This window comes from Homo sapiens, chromosome 7 (genome assembly GCF_000001405.40).
Source record: "Homo sapiens chromosome 7, GRCh38.p14 Primary Assembly".
NCBI classification, from domain to species: domain Eukaryota; kingdom Metazoa; phylum Chordata; class Mammalia; order Primates; family Hominidae; genus Homo; species Homo sapiens.
The window spans coordinates 102,695,350-102,711,717 of record NC_000007.14 but is presented as its reverse complement, the minus strand read 5'-3'; the positions used below and the strand labels follow the sequence as shown (position 1 = coordinate 102,711,717).

The following is a 16,368-nucleotide window of genomic DNA, read 5'->3' as shown; positions in this document are numbered from 1 at the left end:
GTCTGCCTAAATATTTCATTTTCTATCCATGATGTTGCAAATGGGAGAATTTCCTTTTCTATGACTGTAAAATGTTCCATTGTATACATATATCGCAATTTCTTTGTCCATTCATATGTCCATGGAAATTTATGTTGTTTCCATATCTTGGCTTTTGTAAATAGTGATGAAATGAACGTGGGAGTGCCAATAGCGCTTCGAGATCCTGATTTCGATTCATTTGGAAATATAACCAGAAGAATTGCTGGATAATAAGGAAGGTTTATTTTTTACTTTTTGAGGAGACTTCATACTGTTTTCTATAATGGTTTACCAACTTACCTTCCCACTAACAGTGTACAAGTGTTCCTTTTTCTTCACATTCTCATCAACAATTACTATCTTTTGTTGCCATTGCTTTTGGTGTTTTAGACATGAAGTCCTTGCCCATGCCTATGTCCTGAATGGTAATGCCTAGGTTTTCTTCTAGGGTTTTTATGGTTTTAGGTCTAACATTTAAGTCTTTAATCCATCTTGAATTAATTTTTGTATAAGGTGTAAGGAAGGGATCCAGTTTCAGCTTTCTACATATGGCTAGCCAGTTTTCCCAGCACCATTTATTAAATAGGGAATCCTTTCCCCACTGCTTGTTTTTCTCAGGTTTGTCAAAGATCAGATAGTTGTAGATATGTGGCATTATTTCTGAGGCCTCTATTCTGTTCCATTGATCTATATCTCTGTTTTGGTACCAGTACCATGCTGTTTTGGTTACTGTAGCCTTGTAGTATAGTTTGAAGTCAGGTAGCGTGATGCCTCCAGCTTTGTTCTTTTGGCTTAGGATTGACTTGGTGATGCGGGCTCTTTTTTGGTTCCATATGAACTTTAAAGTAGTTTTTTCCAATTCTGTGAAGAAAGTCATTGGTAGCTTGATGGGGATGGCATTGAATCTATAAATTACCTTGGGCAGTATGGCCATTTTCATGATATTGATTCTTCCTACCCATGAGCATGGAATGTTCTTCCATTTGTTAGTATTCTCTTTTATTTCATTGAGCAGTGGTTTGTAGTTCTCCTTGAAGAGGTCCTTCACATCCCTTGTAAGTTGGATTCCTAGGTATTTTATTCTCTTTGAAGCAATTGTGAATGGGAGTTCACTCATGATTTGGCTCTCTGTTTGTCTGTCATTGGTGTATAAGAATGCTTGTGATTTTTGCACATTGATTTTGTATCCTGAGACTTTGCTGAAGTTGCTTATCAGCTTAAGGAGATTTTGGGCTGAGATGATGGGGTTTTCTAGATATACAATCATGTCATCTGCAAACAGGGACAATTTGACTTCCTCTTTTCCTAATTGAATACCCTTTATTTCCTTCTCCTGCCTAATTGCCAATGGGATCTAATTAAACTAAAGAGCTTCTGCACAGCAAAAGAAACTACCATCAGAGTGAACAGGCAACCTACAAAATAGGAGAAAATTTTTGCAACCTACTCATCTGACAAAGGGCTAATATCCAGAATCTACAATGAACTCAAACAAATTTACAAGAAAAAAACAAACAACCCCATCAAAAAGTGGGCGAAGGACATGAACAGACACTTCGCAAAAGAAGACATTTATGCAGCCAAAAAACACATGAAAAAATGCTCTTCATCACTGGCTATCAGAGAAATGCAAATCAAAACCACAATGAGATACCATCTCACACCAGTTAGAATGGCAATCATTAAAAAGTCAGGAAACAACAGGTGCTGGAGAGGATGTGGAGAAATAGGAACACTTTTACACTGTTGGTGGGACTGTAAACTAGTTCAACCATTGTGGAAGTCAGTGTGGTGATTCCTCAGGGATCTTGAACTAGAAATACCATTTGACCCAGCCATCCCATTACTGGATATATACCCAAAGGACTATAAATCATGCTGCTATAAAGACACATGCACATGTATGTTTATTGTGGCATTATTCACAATAGCAAAGACTTGGAACCAACCCAAATGTCCAACAATGATAGACTGGATTAAGAAAATGTGGCACATATACACCATGGAATACTATGCAGCCATAAAAATGGTGAGTTCATGTCCTTTGTAGGGACATGGATGAAATTGGAAATCATCATTCTCAGTAAACTATCACAAGAACAAAAAACCAAACACCGCATATTCTCACTCATAGGTGGGAATTGAACAATGAGAACACATGGACACAGGAAGGGGAACATCACACTCTGGGGACTGTTGTGGGGTGGGGGGAGGGGGGGAGGGATAGCTTTAGGAGATATACCTAATGCTAAATGACGAGTTAATGGGTGCAGCACACCAGCATGGCACATGTATACACATGTAACTAACCTGCACATTGTGCACATGTACCCTAAAACTTAAAGTATAATAATAATAAAAGAAAGAAAAACAATTACTATCTTTTGTTTTTTCAATCATAGCCATCCTAACAGGTGTGAGGCGACATCTTATTGTGGTTTTGATTTGCATTTCCCCAATGGTTGGTAATGTTGATGAACTTTTTACATACTTGTTGACCATTTGTATGTTTTCTTTGGAAAAATGTCTATTCAGCTCCATTACCCATTTTTTAATGGGATTATTTGAGTTGTTGCTATTCAGTTGTATAAGTTCCTTGTATGTTTTGGATGTTAACCCCTTGTCACATATATAGTTTGCAAATATTTCCTCCTATTCCATAGGTTGCCTTTTCATTTTGTTGATTGTTTCTTTTGATGTGCAGAAGTTTTTTAGTTGGATGTCATCTCACTTTATTTTTCCTTTTGTTGCCCATGCTTTTGGTGTCATATCCAAAATATAATCACTAAAACCAATGTCAAGGACTTTTTTCCTATGTTTTCTTCTAGGAGTTTTATGCTTTCAGATCTCATGTTTAATTCTTTAATCTAGTTTGAGTTAACTTTTGTGTGTGATGTAAAACAAGGGCCTGATTTCATTCTTTGGCATGTGGCTATCCAATTTCCCTAACACCTGTATTGAAGAAACTATGTTGTGCATTCTTGACATCCATGCCAAAAATTACTTGACTGTATATGCATTGGTTCATTTCTGGGCTTTCTATTTTGTTCCATTGGTCTTTTATTTTTATTTAATGCCAGCACCATACTGTTTTGATTACTATAACTTTGTGCTACAATTTGAAATCAGAACATGTGATTTTTTCTAGCATTGTTGTTCCTGCTCAAGGTTGGTTTGGCTATTTGGGGTCTTTTATTGTTCCATATAAATTTTAGGATTTTTTTTCTATTCCTGTGAAAAAAGTGCCATTGGAATTTTATAGGGATTGCATTGAACCTGTAGATTGCTTTGTATAGTAAACCATTTTAACAATATTAATTCTTCTAATCCATAACATGGGATACCTTTCCATTTATTTATGTCTAATTTCTTTCACCATAGTTTTATAGTTTCCAGTGTACAGATCTTTCATGTCCTTGGTTAAATGTATGCCTAAGTATTTTTATTCTAAAGGTTAAAGTTTTTCTGATGATCTCTATCAGAACTCTGTTGTAGTGTCTTTTAGTTGCTTCCCTGTGTAAATACTTTACTTGCTCTAAAATATTTAGAATGTTTTCAGAATAATAGAGATTGAAAACTTTAGCAAACTGAAGAATTTGTACAGATTCAGCATGGTACTTATCATTTGTTGCCTAGTTAAGCTGCATCATATTTAAAGGTGCAGTGCTCTGAGAAATTGTCTGAACCTAAGTTTTCAAAGTTAATACCATCTTGATTATAAAGATTTCAAGGCCAGGCGTGGTGGCTCATGCCTGTAATCCCAGCACTCTGGGAGGCCAAGACAGGTGGATCACCTGAGGTCAGGAGTTCGAGACCAGCATGGCCAACATGGTGAAACCCTGTCTCTACTAAAAATACAAGAATTAGCTGGGTGTGGTGGCACACGCTTGTAATCCCAGCTACTCTGGAGGCTGAGGCAGGAGGATCACTTGAACCTGGGAGGCAGAGGTTATAGTGAGCAGAGAATGCACCACTGCACTCCAGCCTGGGAGACAGAGCGAGACTCTGTCTCAAAAAAAAATACACATATATACCTATTTTTAAAATAAATAGATGCACTATACTTTGCAACCCTTTTGTAATAGCAGAAAACTGGAAATATTCAATATGTTTATAAATAGGAAATTGAGTAACCTATGGTGCATCTATGCAAAGGAGTGCTATGCAGGTATGAAAAGGGATGAGGTCTATCTCTGTATATTCCTATAAAGTTCTTTAGGATATATTATTAAGTCTAATTGTCTAGGTTTTGCTTCAAAATAATCTAGAGAGTTCAAAGGGGAAGTGGAAGGGTTATAGATAAAATTGCTCATTAATTGATATTTGTTGAAGCTCGTTAATGGGTACTTGAGGAATAATTGTACTAATCTGCTACTTTTGTTTATATTTGAAACACTTTTTCTTTCTTTCTTTTTTTTTTTTTTTTTTTTTGAGACAGAGTCTCGCTCTTTCTCCCAGGCTGAAGTACAATGGCGCAATCTCGGCTCACTGCAACCTCCACCCGCGGGGTTCAAGTGATTCTGCTGCCTCAGCCTCCCAAGTAGCTGGAATTATAGGCACATGCCACCATGCCTGGCTAATTTTTTTTGTATTTTTAGTAGAGATGGGGTTTCACCATGTTGGCCAGGCTAGTCTTGAACTCCTGACCTCAGGTAATCCACCTGCCTCTGTCTCCTAAAGTGCTGAGATTACAGGCGTGAGTCACCATGCCCGGCCTTTGAAAAACTTCTTAATAAAAAAGTTAAATAAGATATAGCCTAATGTTCTGAAGGAAATATTTTTCTGGGATATTCATTCACATTTAATATCCATGAAAGGATTGAGTGTACATATTTTAGTTTATTCACAAAACAAATTTAAATATATAGCCAAACCATTTTTAGCTGCTTGAAGATTTAAGCAATAAACTGTGATTACCTAGCAAATATAAAGTATTGTAATGCCATAATAATAATGGTTATTTAAAAAAAAAAACACTTTAGGGCATTGAAAAAAGCAAACGTGTTAAAGAAAGGGAAGTCAAATGATACCACTGGCTATTAACATCACATAACAACAGACAATCAGATATTTGGAGCCTCCTGATGGAAGTATATGTTACCACCTCTGAAGTATTGTTGTAGCAGCAGGAAGAGGAAAACAAGTACATGTATAATTTCCGGCTGGCAGAAAATTAGAGATAGAGTGAAGCTCAAGTCCCAGAGGCATTATCACATTTAATCTGCACATCTTTTTGAAACATAAAAATTTGTTGTTGTTTTGTCTTACTAATTTTAACCCATTTTAGAGAGGAGTAAATTTAATGAATAAATGATATGTCTGTGACCACCTGACTAATACATTCAAGAACCAGAACCTACCAAGCCTTCTGGCTTCTTATGATGGAATGTGCTTTCCATGTTATAGAGTGAGGCTCAGTGTCATCAAGGAACAGCCAATCCAATGAGATTGACATGAGAAATGATACATATTCAGCAGAAGATCAGACCCTAAAAGCATGACAATTGCAGTTATCTTCTCTGGCAAGAGAAGAGTGTAAGTATAATATTCTGTTGATTCAGTGAAGATTCATGTATTTCAGAGATCAAAAAGAGCTGATGATGATATTGGCTTTCTCTTATGCAATGGAGGCATTTTGCCTGCTCTCTCTCCAGAAGGGCAGTCATCCCAGTGTCACCAAAGTGGACCAATGGAGCCCTTGCTGACTAAGACAGAGTCCTTTTAGAAACTGTTGTGGATCTGCTTGAATACATGACCAAATCGATGGCTAATATACAAGGCCAGCTTCAGCCTCATAGATGTATGACCTATGCAGTCACACAAGGACCTGCTCTCAGAGGGGCCCTGCACTTGGTTTAATGCCCTGCTGTCACCATTTTTAAATACTTAAAATTTTATTTTTGAGCTTGAGTTTTGTAAATAAAGTCTGTTGGAACAATTGAACATTCACATGAGCAGCACAGATAGGCCAGGCAGCAGTGTGCACATGCACAGGCCTGAATCGATGGCTGTGGCAGAGGGTGTGGGTGCCAAGCAAATAGGCCTGTGGCCTGGTGCTCAAATGCATGCATCAGGGCAGTTTGGGGTATCACAGAGTCCCAAGGCAGCCAGGCCAGCACTTGAGTGCAGATTGGCAAAAGCAATGGCAGCAATAGCAGCAGAAGCAACATGACAACAAAAGTAATAGGGACAGCTACATCAGTGATGGCCTCAGGAGAAAGAAGAGGCCTGCATGGGGACAGTTCTGGAACCTACCATGGGAGGCTTGTCCCCAGCACCTGTCTCTGTGGTATCTGCACATATAATAAGGAAAGAAACTATTGGCACTCAATGCAGAAAACTTTTTTAGTAAAATATTACAAAATAAAAGCAAACACACAGACATTGCAATAAAACATGTCAAGGAGTTATTAGAATTCTTCAAAGAGTTTAAAATCTCCAGTTTTGAAAATTACTATAATATTACAAATCAAATATCCATAAGTTTAGGAATAGAAATTAAAGATGATTGCATGTGACAGAAAATAATAGTTTTCCAAGCTTGAATAAAGCTTATGAAGCTTTGAATAAATGAAGTATGAACAAGAAAGACCATTTTAAATTTTATTTTTTTTTGTAATTGAACATACAGCAATAGAATGCATATAAGCAAGTGTTCTGGTGTATATACAAAATATAAAGCCACTTTTGGATTATTGCACAACCTCCAGAAGTTACAGGAATTGTCAGAGGATACATTAAAATGAATGTTGAATAAATGTACATTTAAAATTAAATTCACAGAGGAAGCTGATTTTTATGAAGAGTTAAATCTTTTTAGAAAATTGTTCTATGAGAATCATTAGCTCAAAAGGTTATATTTTGAAATGATTTATCAGAAATTTATCTAAATGTTATCACAGCCTATAAATATTCTTATAAACTTCAGTGAAAGATGCATGAGCAGGAAGATTCTTCTCAAATTAAAAATTGCCAAAAATTATTTATGATCTTGCATTTCCCAAGAGCAGCTCACATCACTTTCAGTTTGATCAATTAAAAATGAAATTACAATGAGTATAAATTTTGATGATCTAGTAAATTAATTTGCAGAAAAGTGAGCCAGAAAAATCTTATGATCAATCAAGATATTACATTATTGTTATTTTATTATATAAAATTGTGACATCAAAAATATTTTCTTAGGATTCATTACTATTCACTTAGTTTTTGTTGCTATTCATGTATTACTATTACCCCTATTATATTTTATAAGTAATAAATTTTTTTAAAGGAAAAACTTTTTATATATTGGTAACTTTCAGAGAACATTTTTCTGACATTTTGACAAGGAATCCTAGGTTTGTTTTTTTGTACTGGGTCCTGCAAATTATGTGGGTCACCCTGCCAATATGATCTGAGGAAAAAAATTTTCGAAGCTGGTGTTAGCAGTTGCCCACAGCAATTACAGAAGAACCTCAGTTTTGCTCCTGTGGGAATTTGGTTTTGAACAAACTAACTTTCCAATAAGGAGTGAATGAATTATTGTTACTGCATTGATTTAGTGTTAAGCATTTTATTTCTGAAAATTCAAGTAAACTATTTGCAATTGTAATATTCTTTGGACATTAGAAGAACAGCAGAACTTGTTTGTCCCGTTGGCAATTATTTTTAGCACACATTATAAGTATGTTATTTGCTAGGTGTTGAAGGTATATGGGTAAATAAGAATATAGTTTCTGTTCTAAGAAGTCCAATAAGGTAGACAATATGAAAAATAGTAAATTACAATACACTGTTTTAAGCACTTTTCTACAGAAATATGTACAATGTATAGATTATAGAGGTATCAGAAAGCACATTTTGCTTATAATAGGATAGCTGGAGAGGTTTCTGGCTTCTTGTTTCATAAATGTCTAGGCTGATACTGACTTGCATTCTCATTATAGTTCATATCTATTTTACATATATAATTCATATATATTTTTTATTTTCCAATTAATGCAACAGTAGCATACTTTTAAAAATAAGAATGATTGATTTGAATGCAACAATAGAGAGTATCTTTGCAAAAAAGCCGTCTTTTATAATGAGATTATAGCTAACTTTCCTGATTTGTAGTTTCATTGAACAATAGCTTATTCCAGTTTTTTGCTTATTTTTTTATTTTCCATTAATTTTACTTTATAGGTGAAGATACTCCTAAATAGCCACATATGGATTAATTTTATTTTAGAATCGTGAAAAATGGAAGACAGTAGCACAGACACAGAAAAAGAAGAGGAAGAGGAGAAAGATGAAAAGGATCAAGAGCCCATTTATGCCATAGTGCCCACAATTAACATTCAAGATGAGCGGTTTGTTGATTTATCTGAAACTCCAGCTTTCATTTTTCTGCATGAGGTATATTTTTCTTTTTTTTTTTTTTTTTTTTTTTTTTTGAGACGGAGTCTCGCTCTGTCGTCCAGGCTGGAGTGCAGTGGCGGGATCTCGGCTCACTGCAAGCTCCGCCTCCCGGGTTCACGCCATTCTCCTGCCTCAGCCTCCCAAGTAGCTGGGACTACAGGCGCCCGCCACTACGCCCGGCTAATTTTTTTTTGTATTTTTAGTAGAGACGGGGTTTCACCGTTTTAGCCGGGATGGTCTCGATCTCCTGACCTCGTGATCCGCCCGCCTCGGCCTCCCAAAGTGCTGGGATTACAGGCGTGAGCCACCGCGCCCGGCATATTTTTCTTTATATGTTACTACAGTAAAACCCAACTCAACATGTACTTAAAAATTCAAATGAAGCCAATATCATTATCAAAATTCTTTATTACATATATCCTGTAGGTGATATTTACAACTTGATACACTAAAACAAAATGGTCCCTGCCTTTTCTTCCAAAAATTTATCATGTAATTCTGAACCAATGCAGTAGTGTAGGTTCTGATACTTTCGTAGCATAAGTATTTGCATATATATTCGGTCAGTTACATACATTTCGTGGGTTGGTACATGAAATAAAGAAGATTTCTTTTATTATTGCATATACTACATTTACTTCCATAAAATTAAAATATCTTGTCATATAATGATAGAAAGAATATATATTTACCTAACTAACTATAGTTACTGCAGTGGAGCACTGAAATCTGCTGTTTTCTATCAGCAAATAAGCAAAAAGGGGAATATGATGAATTATACATTCTCATTATGTGAACTTTAAAAAGCAAGATGAACATTTAGGAAATACCCATATATGAGGAGAGGTTTTTTTTTAAGTAATGGCTGACTATGTATTCAGCTGTTACCTTGTCATGCCTGAGAGCTATACTTTAGAAAATGATTTAGAGGACTTTTGAATTTCAGATGATAAACTTTATATAACTGAATAAAACATTCTAAGAAATTTGATAGTCATAGTAAAAAATAAGTTTAAAAAGTCTTAAAGCAAAAACAGAGTTTATTAAAAACCAAGAAGCAAAACCAAATTGGAACAGAATGCAATAAAAAAGTAATTTTAAAAATAATAGTGCTATATATGTGTATACAGGATCTAAATTGCTAAATTGTTCACTTTTTCTACAGTTTTGACTTTTTCTTTTATTTTGACATAATTTCAGATATACAGGACAGTTGCAAGATTAGTGCAAAGAATTTGCATGTATCTTTAACCCAGATTTCTCAGATGCTAACATCTTACCACATTTGCTTTATCCTTTTCTTTCTATCTTCTTGTTCTCTCAACCTCTCTCTTTCTCTCTCTGAAGACACGATGCCCCTTTATACCTAAATGCATCACTATATTTCCTAAAAATATATTCATTCTCTTAATCATAGTACAATTATATCAGGAAATTAACATTGATATAATACCATTTTCTAATCTGCATACCTTATTCGGGTCTTGCCAGTTGTCCCAATAATGTTCTTTATAGCAAAAGAAAATTCTAGGTTATGTATTGCATTCAGTAGTCATCTCTTTAGTCTCCTTTAATCTAAAGGAAATTCAGGATTTCTTTAGTTTTCATGATATTGACACTTTGAAGAGAAGAGGCCGGTTATTTTGTGATTTTCTTTCAATTTGGATTTTTCCGATTTTCTTATTATTAGATTCATGCTATGTATTTTTGGTAAAGATATAAAGACACAATCTTGTATCCTTCTCAATTATCTTCTACTAGGAACACATGATGTTGCCTTGTCCCATTGCTAGACTTGTTCATCTTGATCACTTGGTTAAGGTGATGACTTCCAGATTTACCTTTTATTTATTTTTCTGTTTGAAATTAATAAGCACCTCAAGAAGAGATACTCTGAGACTATGTGGTTGTCTTACTCCTCTTAAAATTTTCACCTACAAGTTTGGGATTTATTGGGGATACTTACCCAGATCAACTCTTGTTATGATGGTTGTCAAATGGTGATTTTCTAATTCCATCATTTCTTCTATATTTATTAGGTGGCTTTCTACTATAAGGAAGAACTTTCTCTTCTTTCCTTATTTATTCATCTTTTTATCAGTGTGGACTTAGGTTTCTCACTGTCATTCCTTTTCATGCTATCATTGTCCCACATTTGGCCAGTGTACACCCTTCAGGTAGGCTCACTTGTCCTTCTGATATGCTCCTGTGATTCCTTCTGCACTTCCTTACTTTCTGGCACAAGAATGTGTTCTGGGCTCATCTTGTATTTTTTTTGCTCCAGCCCTAGAATCAGCCATTTCTTGGAGGATCCCTAGTTCCTGTTACTGGAGAATGATATTTGGAAACTAAGATATTAATGCTGAGCATGGTCATTGATCCTAGAATGTCATAGCTTCTAGCCCCTCTCAGTGGACAGAGCTAGGAAACAGATTCATGAATATTTATATCCACACAAATTTAAATCTATTTCTACATCTATCTTTATATATTTTTTAGTCTAACTTTTATTTTAGATACAGGGCATACATGTACAGGTTTTGTACATGGGCATATTGCATCCAGGTGGTAAGCCTAGTACCCAGTAGGTAGTTTTTCAACCCACACTCCCCTTCCTCCCTCCACTCTCTAGTAGTCTGCAGTGTCTGTTATTCTCATGTTTTTGTCCATGTGTGCTCAGTGTATAGCTCCCACTTATAAATGAGAATATGCAGTGTCTGGTTTTCTTTTCCTGCATTAATTCACTCAGGATTATGGTCTCCAGCTCTTCTATGTCTCTGTGAAGGACATGATTTCATCCTCCTATATGGTTGCATAGTATTCTGTGGTGTATATATATAACACACTTTCTTTATCCAATCCCCCACTGATGGGCCACTAGATTGATTCCACATCTTTGTTATTAATAGTGTGGTGATGAATGTATGAATGCATGTGTCTTTTTGGTAGAATGATCTATTTTCCTTTGGTTTTATACCCAGTAATGGGATTGCTGGGTTGAATGGTAGCTCTGTTTTAAGTTATTTGAGAAATCTCCAAACTGCTTTCCACAGTGGCTGAACTAAACTAAAGAGCCTCTTCACAGCAAAAGAAACCATCAACAGAGTAAACAGACAATCTACAGAATGGGAGAAAATATTTGCAAACTGCATCTGAGAAAGGTCTGATATCCGGAATCTATAAGGAACTTAGACAAATCAACAAGCAAAAAACAAATAACCCCATTTTAAAAATAGGCAAAGGACATGAACAGACGTTTCTCAAAAGAAGACATACATGTGGCCAACAAAAGTAGGAAAAAGTGCTCAGCATCACTAATTATCAGAGAAATACAAGTCAAAACCACAATGAGATATTATCTCCCACCAGTCAGAATGACTATTATTAAAAAGTCAAAAACAATGGATGCTGGCAAAGGTATGGAGAAAAAGAAATGCTTATCTTTGTATTTTTAAAACCATGATTTCCTTCCTCTAATCTTAAATTTTAAGTGAAGAGTTCACATTTCTGTCAAAATCCATCATATGTCGAACTTTGCAATAGAATTTCTACTTCTCCACCACTACCCTTAATAATCAAATCAAAAATAAGGCTAAACTTGTGTCATACATTTGTTTGATATAGTAGCTACCAAAGACGTTGACTCAACATACACTTATGATGTAAGGTCATGCATTTTTAGGTCTGACATAAGTTGTTTGAAACCCAATCATACCTGATCTTTGTACTAGTTAAAATAACTCCTCCCCGTGTGGTGGAGATATAGCCCACTTGTTTCTCATCCTGCTAATCCCAAACCCAAAACACCCCACAGCTGCTAACCGTGATAAAACCTAATGATCAACACCAGAGTCATATAAATAAGTTTCCCCCTTCTGGCGTGTTTTCCTTAAACCAGCCAATCCACAACTCCTGTTAGAAGACCGGAGGGATAATACCCATATACCTTAATAAAGGTGAACTCCCACAGCTGCTCTCTCACTCCCTACCCACTGCTGAGCTCCCTGCCACCTCCAGACTTATCTGCGCTCCCCATCAGCACCCCTAAGCTGTCAGATCTGTAAGTAATAAATTTCTTCTGTTTCATGCGTTTGGTTTCACCTTCTCATTGTTGTCATTGTATCTCACCTGACTCACACACAGGAACCTGACGGCCTGCCCGTCAGGGCTCTTCTAAAAAGCAGCTATCTTGGCTTGTAGCCACTCTTCACAGAGTGACCTTAAGACCAGTTTATAAAGAAGCCATAACAGTAAAAATCACAACAACTTGAGTTTATTTGTAGCAAAAGTTATGCTAATAGTAAAGATTATCTTCAAGGTTTTCTAAGCCAAAGATTAAGGTTTGTTTTGCAAAATTAAAGAACTTAGGACAACTTCTCATGCATGTTGATCCTCAATCTAACAATAAATATTTCAAGAATCTCTCAATATACATGGATGCATAATTTATAGTTATTAATCGCTGGGTATAACAGGCCTCTGATAATTATATCCAAGAGCTTTCAATAATAGTTTCAAAGAACTGTGCTACGTACACTTTTGAGTAGTATCAATATCAGCAATTTTACTGCCTGAGAACTCCTCCTCAAAGCAGTGACAAATTGCAAACTTTCGGAATATTCAGAATTATTGGCTTGAGAAAACTTTATTTCCATAACAACACCACTAAGATATTGTTCCTAATTGGCATCTGTAAATTTATTTTCTAATTCTTTTAGGATTACTCTAAAATTTATGGGTCTCACAAGTTTTTAACATACTGTGTATAACCTACTTTATATTCCTTCAGTTGTCTTTGTCTTTTAACCTCTTTGTCTTCCTTCAGTTGTTTAAACAGAAACTGTATCTGCAAAAATGGCAAAAGTGCAGATGACAACTGAAGGAAAGCAGTCAAATCCACTTCCAAGGGTCCAGTTGCTTGGCATAACATTGGAAAACACAGAAACTGCTTATATCATTCATTGTTATTAATGCTAGTTGCACAGTTGTCCCAGCACTGCCAAGTTGCAATGCATGGTTGTCATGCTCTCGTCTCATATTGCCTGAAGAGTGTGTTCAGTATGACATTCACAGGCCTCTGCAATTTATACCCAAACTACTTTTACAATCTAGTCATTCACTTAGATTCTCAAGAGCTACTCTTTATGTTGTTCCGCTCAGCAGGGACTCTCCCATATTTAGAAGGAATAACGTCAGATGTCTAAGGAAACTGGCATAAATTCAAAATACATGATGTAAGATCATGGCTATCCACCAATCTGCCTAGTCGTATTGCCTCCATTGCTTTTAAGCTGTGCCATACATACTAAAAAACCAAACAAAATGCTTGCATAGACTGCACTTTGCAACCCCTGGGTCTGTTCCTAACCTTTGAGATCCTGGCTCAAATCTCTTGTCCTTCAGGGAACTGCCTGAGTAGCCAGCTCACAGGGGTTTCTCCAACCTCTCAACTCTTCCCACATCACTTGACTAATCAGCATAAAATATTTTGCATAGGAAATGTAGAGTTCCATTGAGAACACATGGACACAGAGAGGGGAACAACACACACCAGGGCCTGTTTGGGGGTTGGGGGCTGAGGGGAGGGAAATTAGAGACAGGTCAATAGGGGCAGCAAACCACCATGGCACACGTAGACCTATGGAACAAACCTGCACATTCTGCACACTTATCCCTTTATTTTTTTTAAGAAGAAAAAGAAAATTTAGAGTTCCCCACTGACATTATGATCACATTAAGACCTATGATCGCAATAAGACCTAACAGGGCAGGAACTACACTGTGTTAATTCACTCCTTGGAATGAATGTTCAAAGTGATGCTTGGGGCTGGGCGCAGTGGCTCATGCCTGTAATTGCAGCATTTTGGGAGGCTGAGGTGAGCGGATCACCTGAGGTCAGGGGTTCCAGACCAGCCTGGCCAACATGGCGAAACCCCGTCTCTACTAAAAATACAAAAATTAGCCAGGTGTGGTGGTGCATGCCTGTAATCCCAGCTACTCAGGAGGCTGAGGCAGGAGAATTGCTTGAACCTGGGAGGCAGAGGTTGCAGTGAGCCCAGATCACACCATTGCGCTCCAGTCTGGGCAACAAGTGAAACTGCGTCTCAAAAACAAAAGTGATTAAGTGATGTTTGGAAACCAAGCCACACAACTCCCATCAATGGGTTGTGTGGGTTAATGTAGGACACCTGCTCCCCAAATTGGCCATTGCTGCGTAACTATGAGGCCTGGTACTCCAGACTTTTTTTTGTCCTATTGGATATTTAATCCTGTCCCATTTTCTTTATATTGTTAATTTTTATTTAAGGTATAACATATAGAGTAAACCTCACAAATATTAAGTGTACAGATCAGGTTTTTTATGTATGCTTATAACCAACATGTCCATAACTGAATTTGTCATTCTTCTCCCAATCATCTGTATTCTCTTTGTCAGTTTGAGAGTTAAATATCTCCTTTAAATATGTATCTCATTGATTTATCTCTTCTCCCACCATATTCTCAGTCTGATCAGGATCTACTTCCAGGAACCTGAGGTCTCCCTTGAGACCTTCCCAGTCATTGCTCCCACCCAAGATAACCACTCTACTGGCTTATCATATATTAGTTTGTCTCTTCTTGAACATCATTTAAATGGAGTCATACAGTATGTTTTTCTTTGTGTCTGGCTGCTTTTGCTCACTTTTATAGTTGTGAGGTTCATTAATAGCATTATGCGTGGTGGTAGTTCCATTTCTTTTTTTATTGCTTCTTAGTATCCTGATGATACAGGACAGTCAAGCCCCCAAATTGAGGCTTGCCCTTGAGAGGGTTGTGATGTTAAACAGCAACTTTTATTGAAGTGGCAGTGAACTGCAGCAGCAGAGGTTCTGATCCTTGTGGAGCAGGGATACCCCATAGGCAGTGTACCTGGAATAGGAGCTCAGAGGCAGTTCTGCACTCAAATTTATATCCACTTTTAATTAGATGCAAATTAAGGACTGGTTTATGCAGAAATTTCTAGAATGAGGTTGGTAACTTGCAGGTTGTCGGGTTGATGCCATGGAAAGGGGCAGTAACTTCCTGATGTTACCATGGCAACAGTAAACTAACATGGCACACTGGTGTCTAATGGGGGAGGTGCTTCTGCCTCAGACCTCTTTTAGCTAGTCCTCAATTTGGTGTGATGTCCAAGCCCCACCTCCAAAGTCGAGTTCTGCCTCCTACCTCACTACTGTGTAAATATACCATAATTTGTTGATCCATTCTATTTTGTTTATAAAAATGGATTATTTCCTGTTTTGAAGATAATGAATAAAGTTCTGTGATCATTCTTATGCATGCCTTGTACTTAAGAATGAACTTATCTTGGGTATATACACAGGAGTGGGGTTAATCTGTCATAGTCTAGGTTTATATTCAGCTTTAGTAAAGACCTTCAATCAGTTTTCCAAAGAGGTTGAACCAGCATACACTCCAATGGGTATTATGTTAGATGCTGTCACATGTCCAGGGTTAATACAAGTGATAGCTTTCACGGTATTCCCTAGTTAGGATTTCTACTTCTATCTGTATGTGCTTATGTAAAACAGCACTGATTTATAAATGTGGCCTCACTTGTCAAGGGTCAGTGTGTCAGATGCTGAACTTTTCCACGACTTGGAGGCCGTAAAATCATTTTTGTCTTAATGCTGTGAGCCAAAATCAAAACATTAAATTATTTCGCCTAAGCGAAATAATTGGCTCTTTGCTTTTTACCAAGAGCCAGGCATCTCCTCCCTTCTCTTTATTTCCTGAAAATAATTATTGTTCCAATCATTGTTAAGTAAGTCTTTGACCTGACTTAGCCAAGGGGTGGAAAAAAGGAGGCATAGGAGCATTGCATTTGGGAGGCATAAAAGGGAGAACAAACATTGTAGGGAAACACCGAGGAAGTAAAACTACGAATCAAAATAGAATATGAAACTAAAAGTAGAGTGTGGA

At 36.7% G+C, this 16,368-nt stretch overlaps 1 pseudogene across 1 annotated transcript in view, besides 1 other annotated feature; it reads left to right on the top strand.

Moving 5' to 3' along the window:
- Positions 1–16,368, top strand: part of RASA4DP (RAS p21 protein activator 4D, pseudogene) — a 69,987-nt pseudogene that overhangs the window by 36,977 nt on the left and 16,642 nt on the right. Inside the window, exons 2-3 of the transcript NR_146066.1 lie at positions 8,191–8,403; positions 12,305–12,466. The product of NR_146066.1 is annotated as an RAS p21 protein activator 4D, pseudogene (transcript). The remainder of the gene's footprint in view (positions 1–8,190; positions 8,404–12,304; positions 12,467–16,368) is intronic.
- Positions 3,990–4,114: a silencer, noted in NCBI's record as "fragment chr7:102348051-102348175 (GRCh37/hg19 assembly coordinates)". NCBI's record gives its function as "represses an EF-1alpha promoter that drives an FKBP-Casp9 reporter gene in an ReSE screen in K562 erythroleukemia cells {active_cell/tissue: K562}" and the evidence as "EXISTENCE:reporter gene assay evidence [ECO:0000049][PMID:32094911]".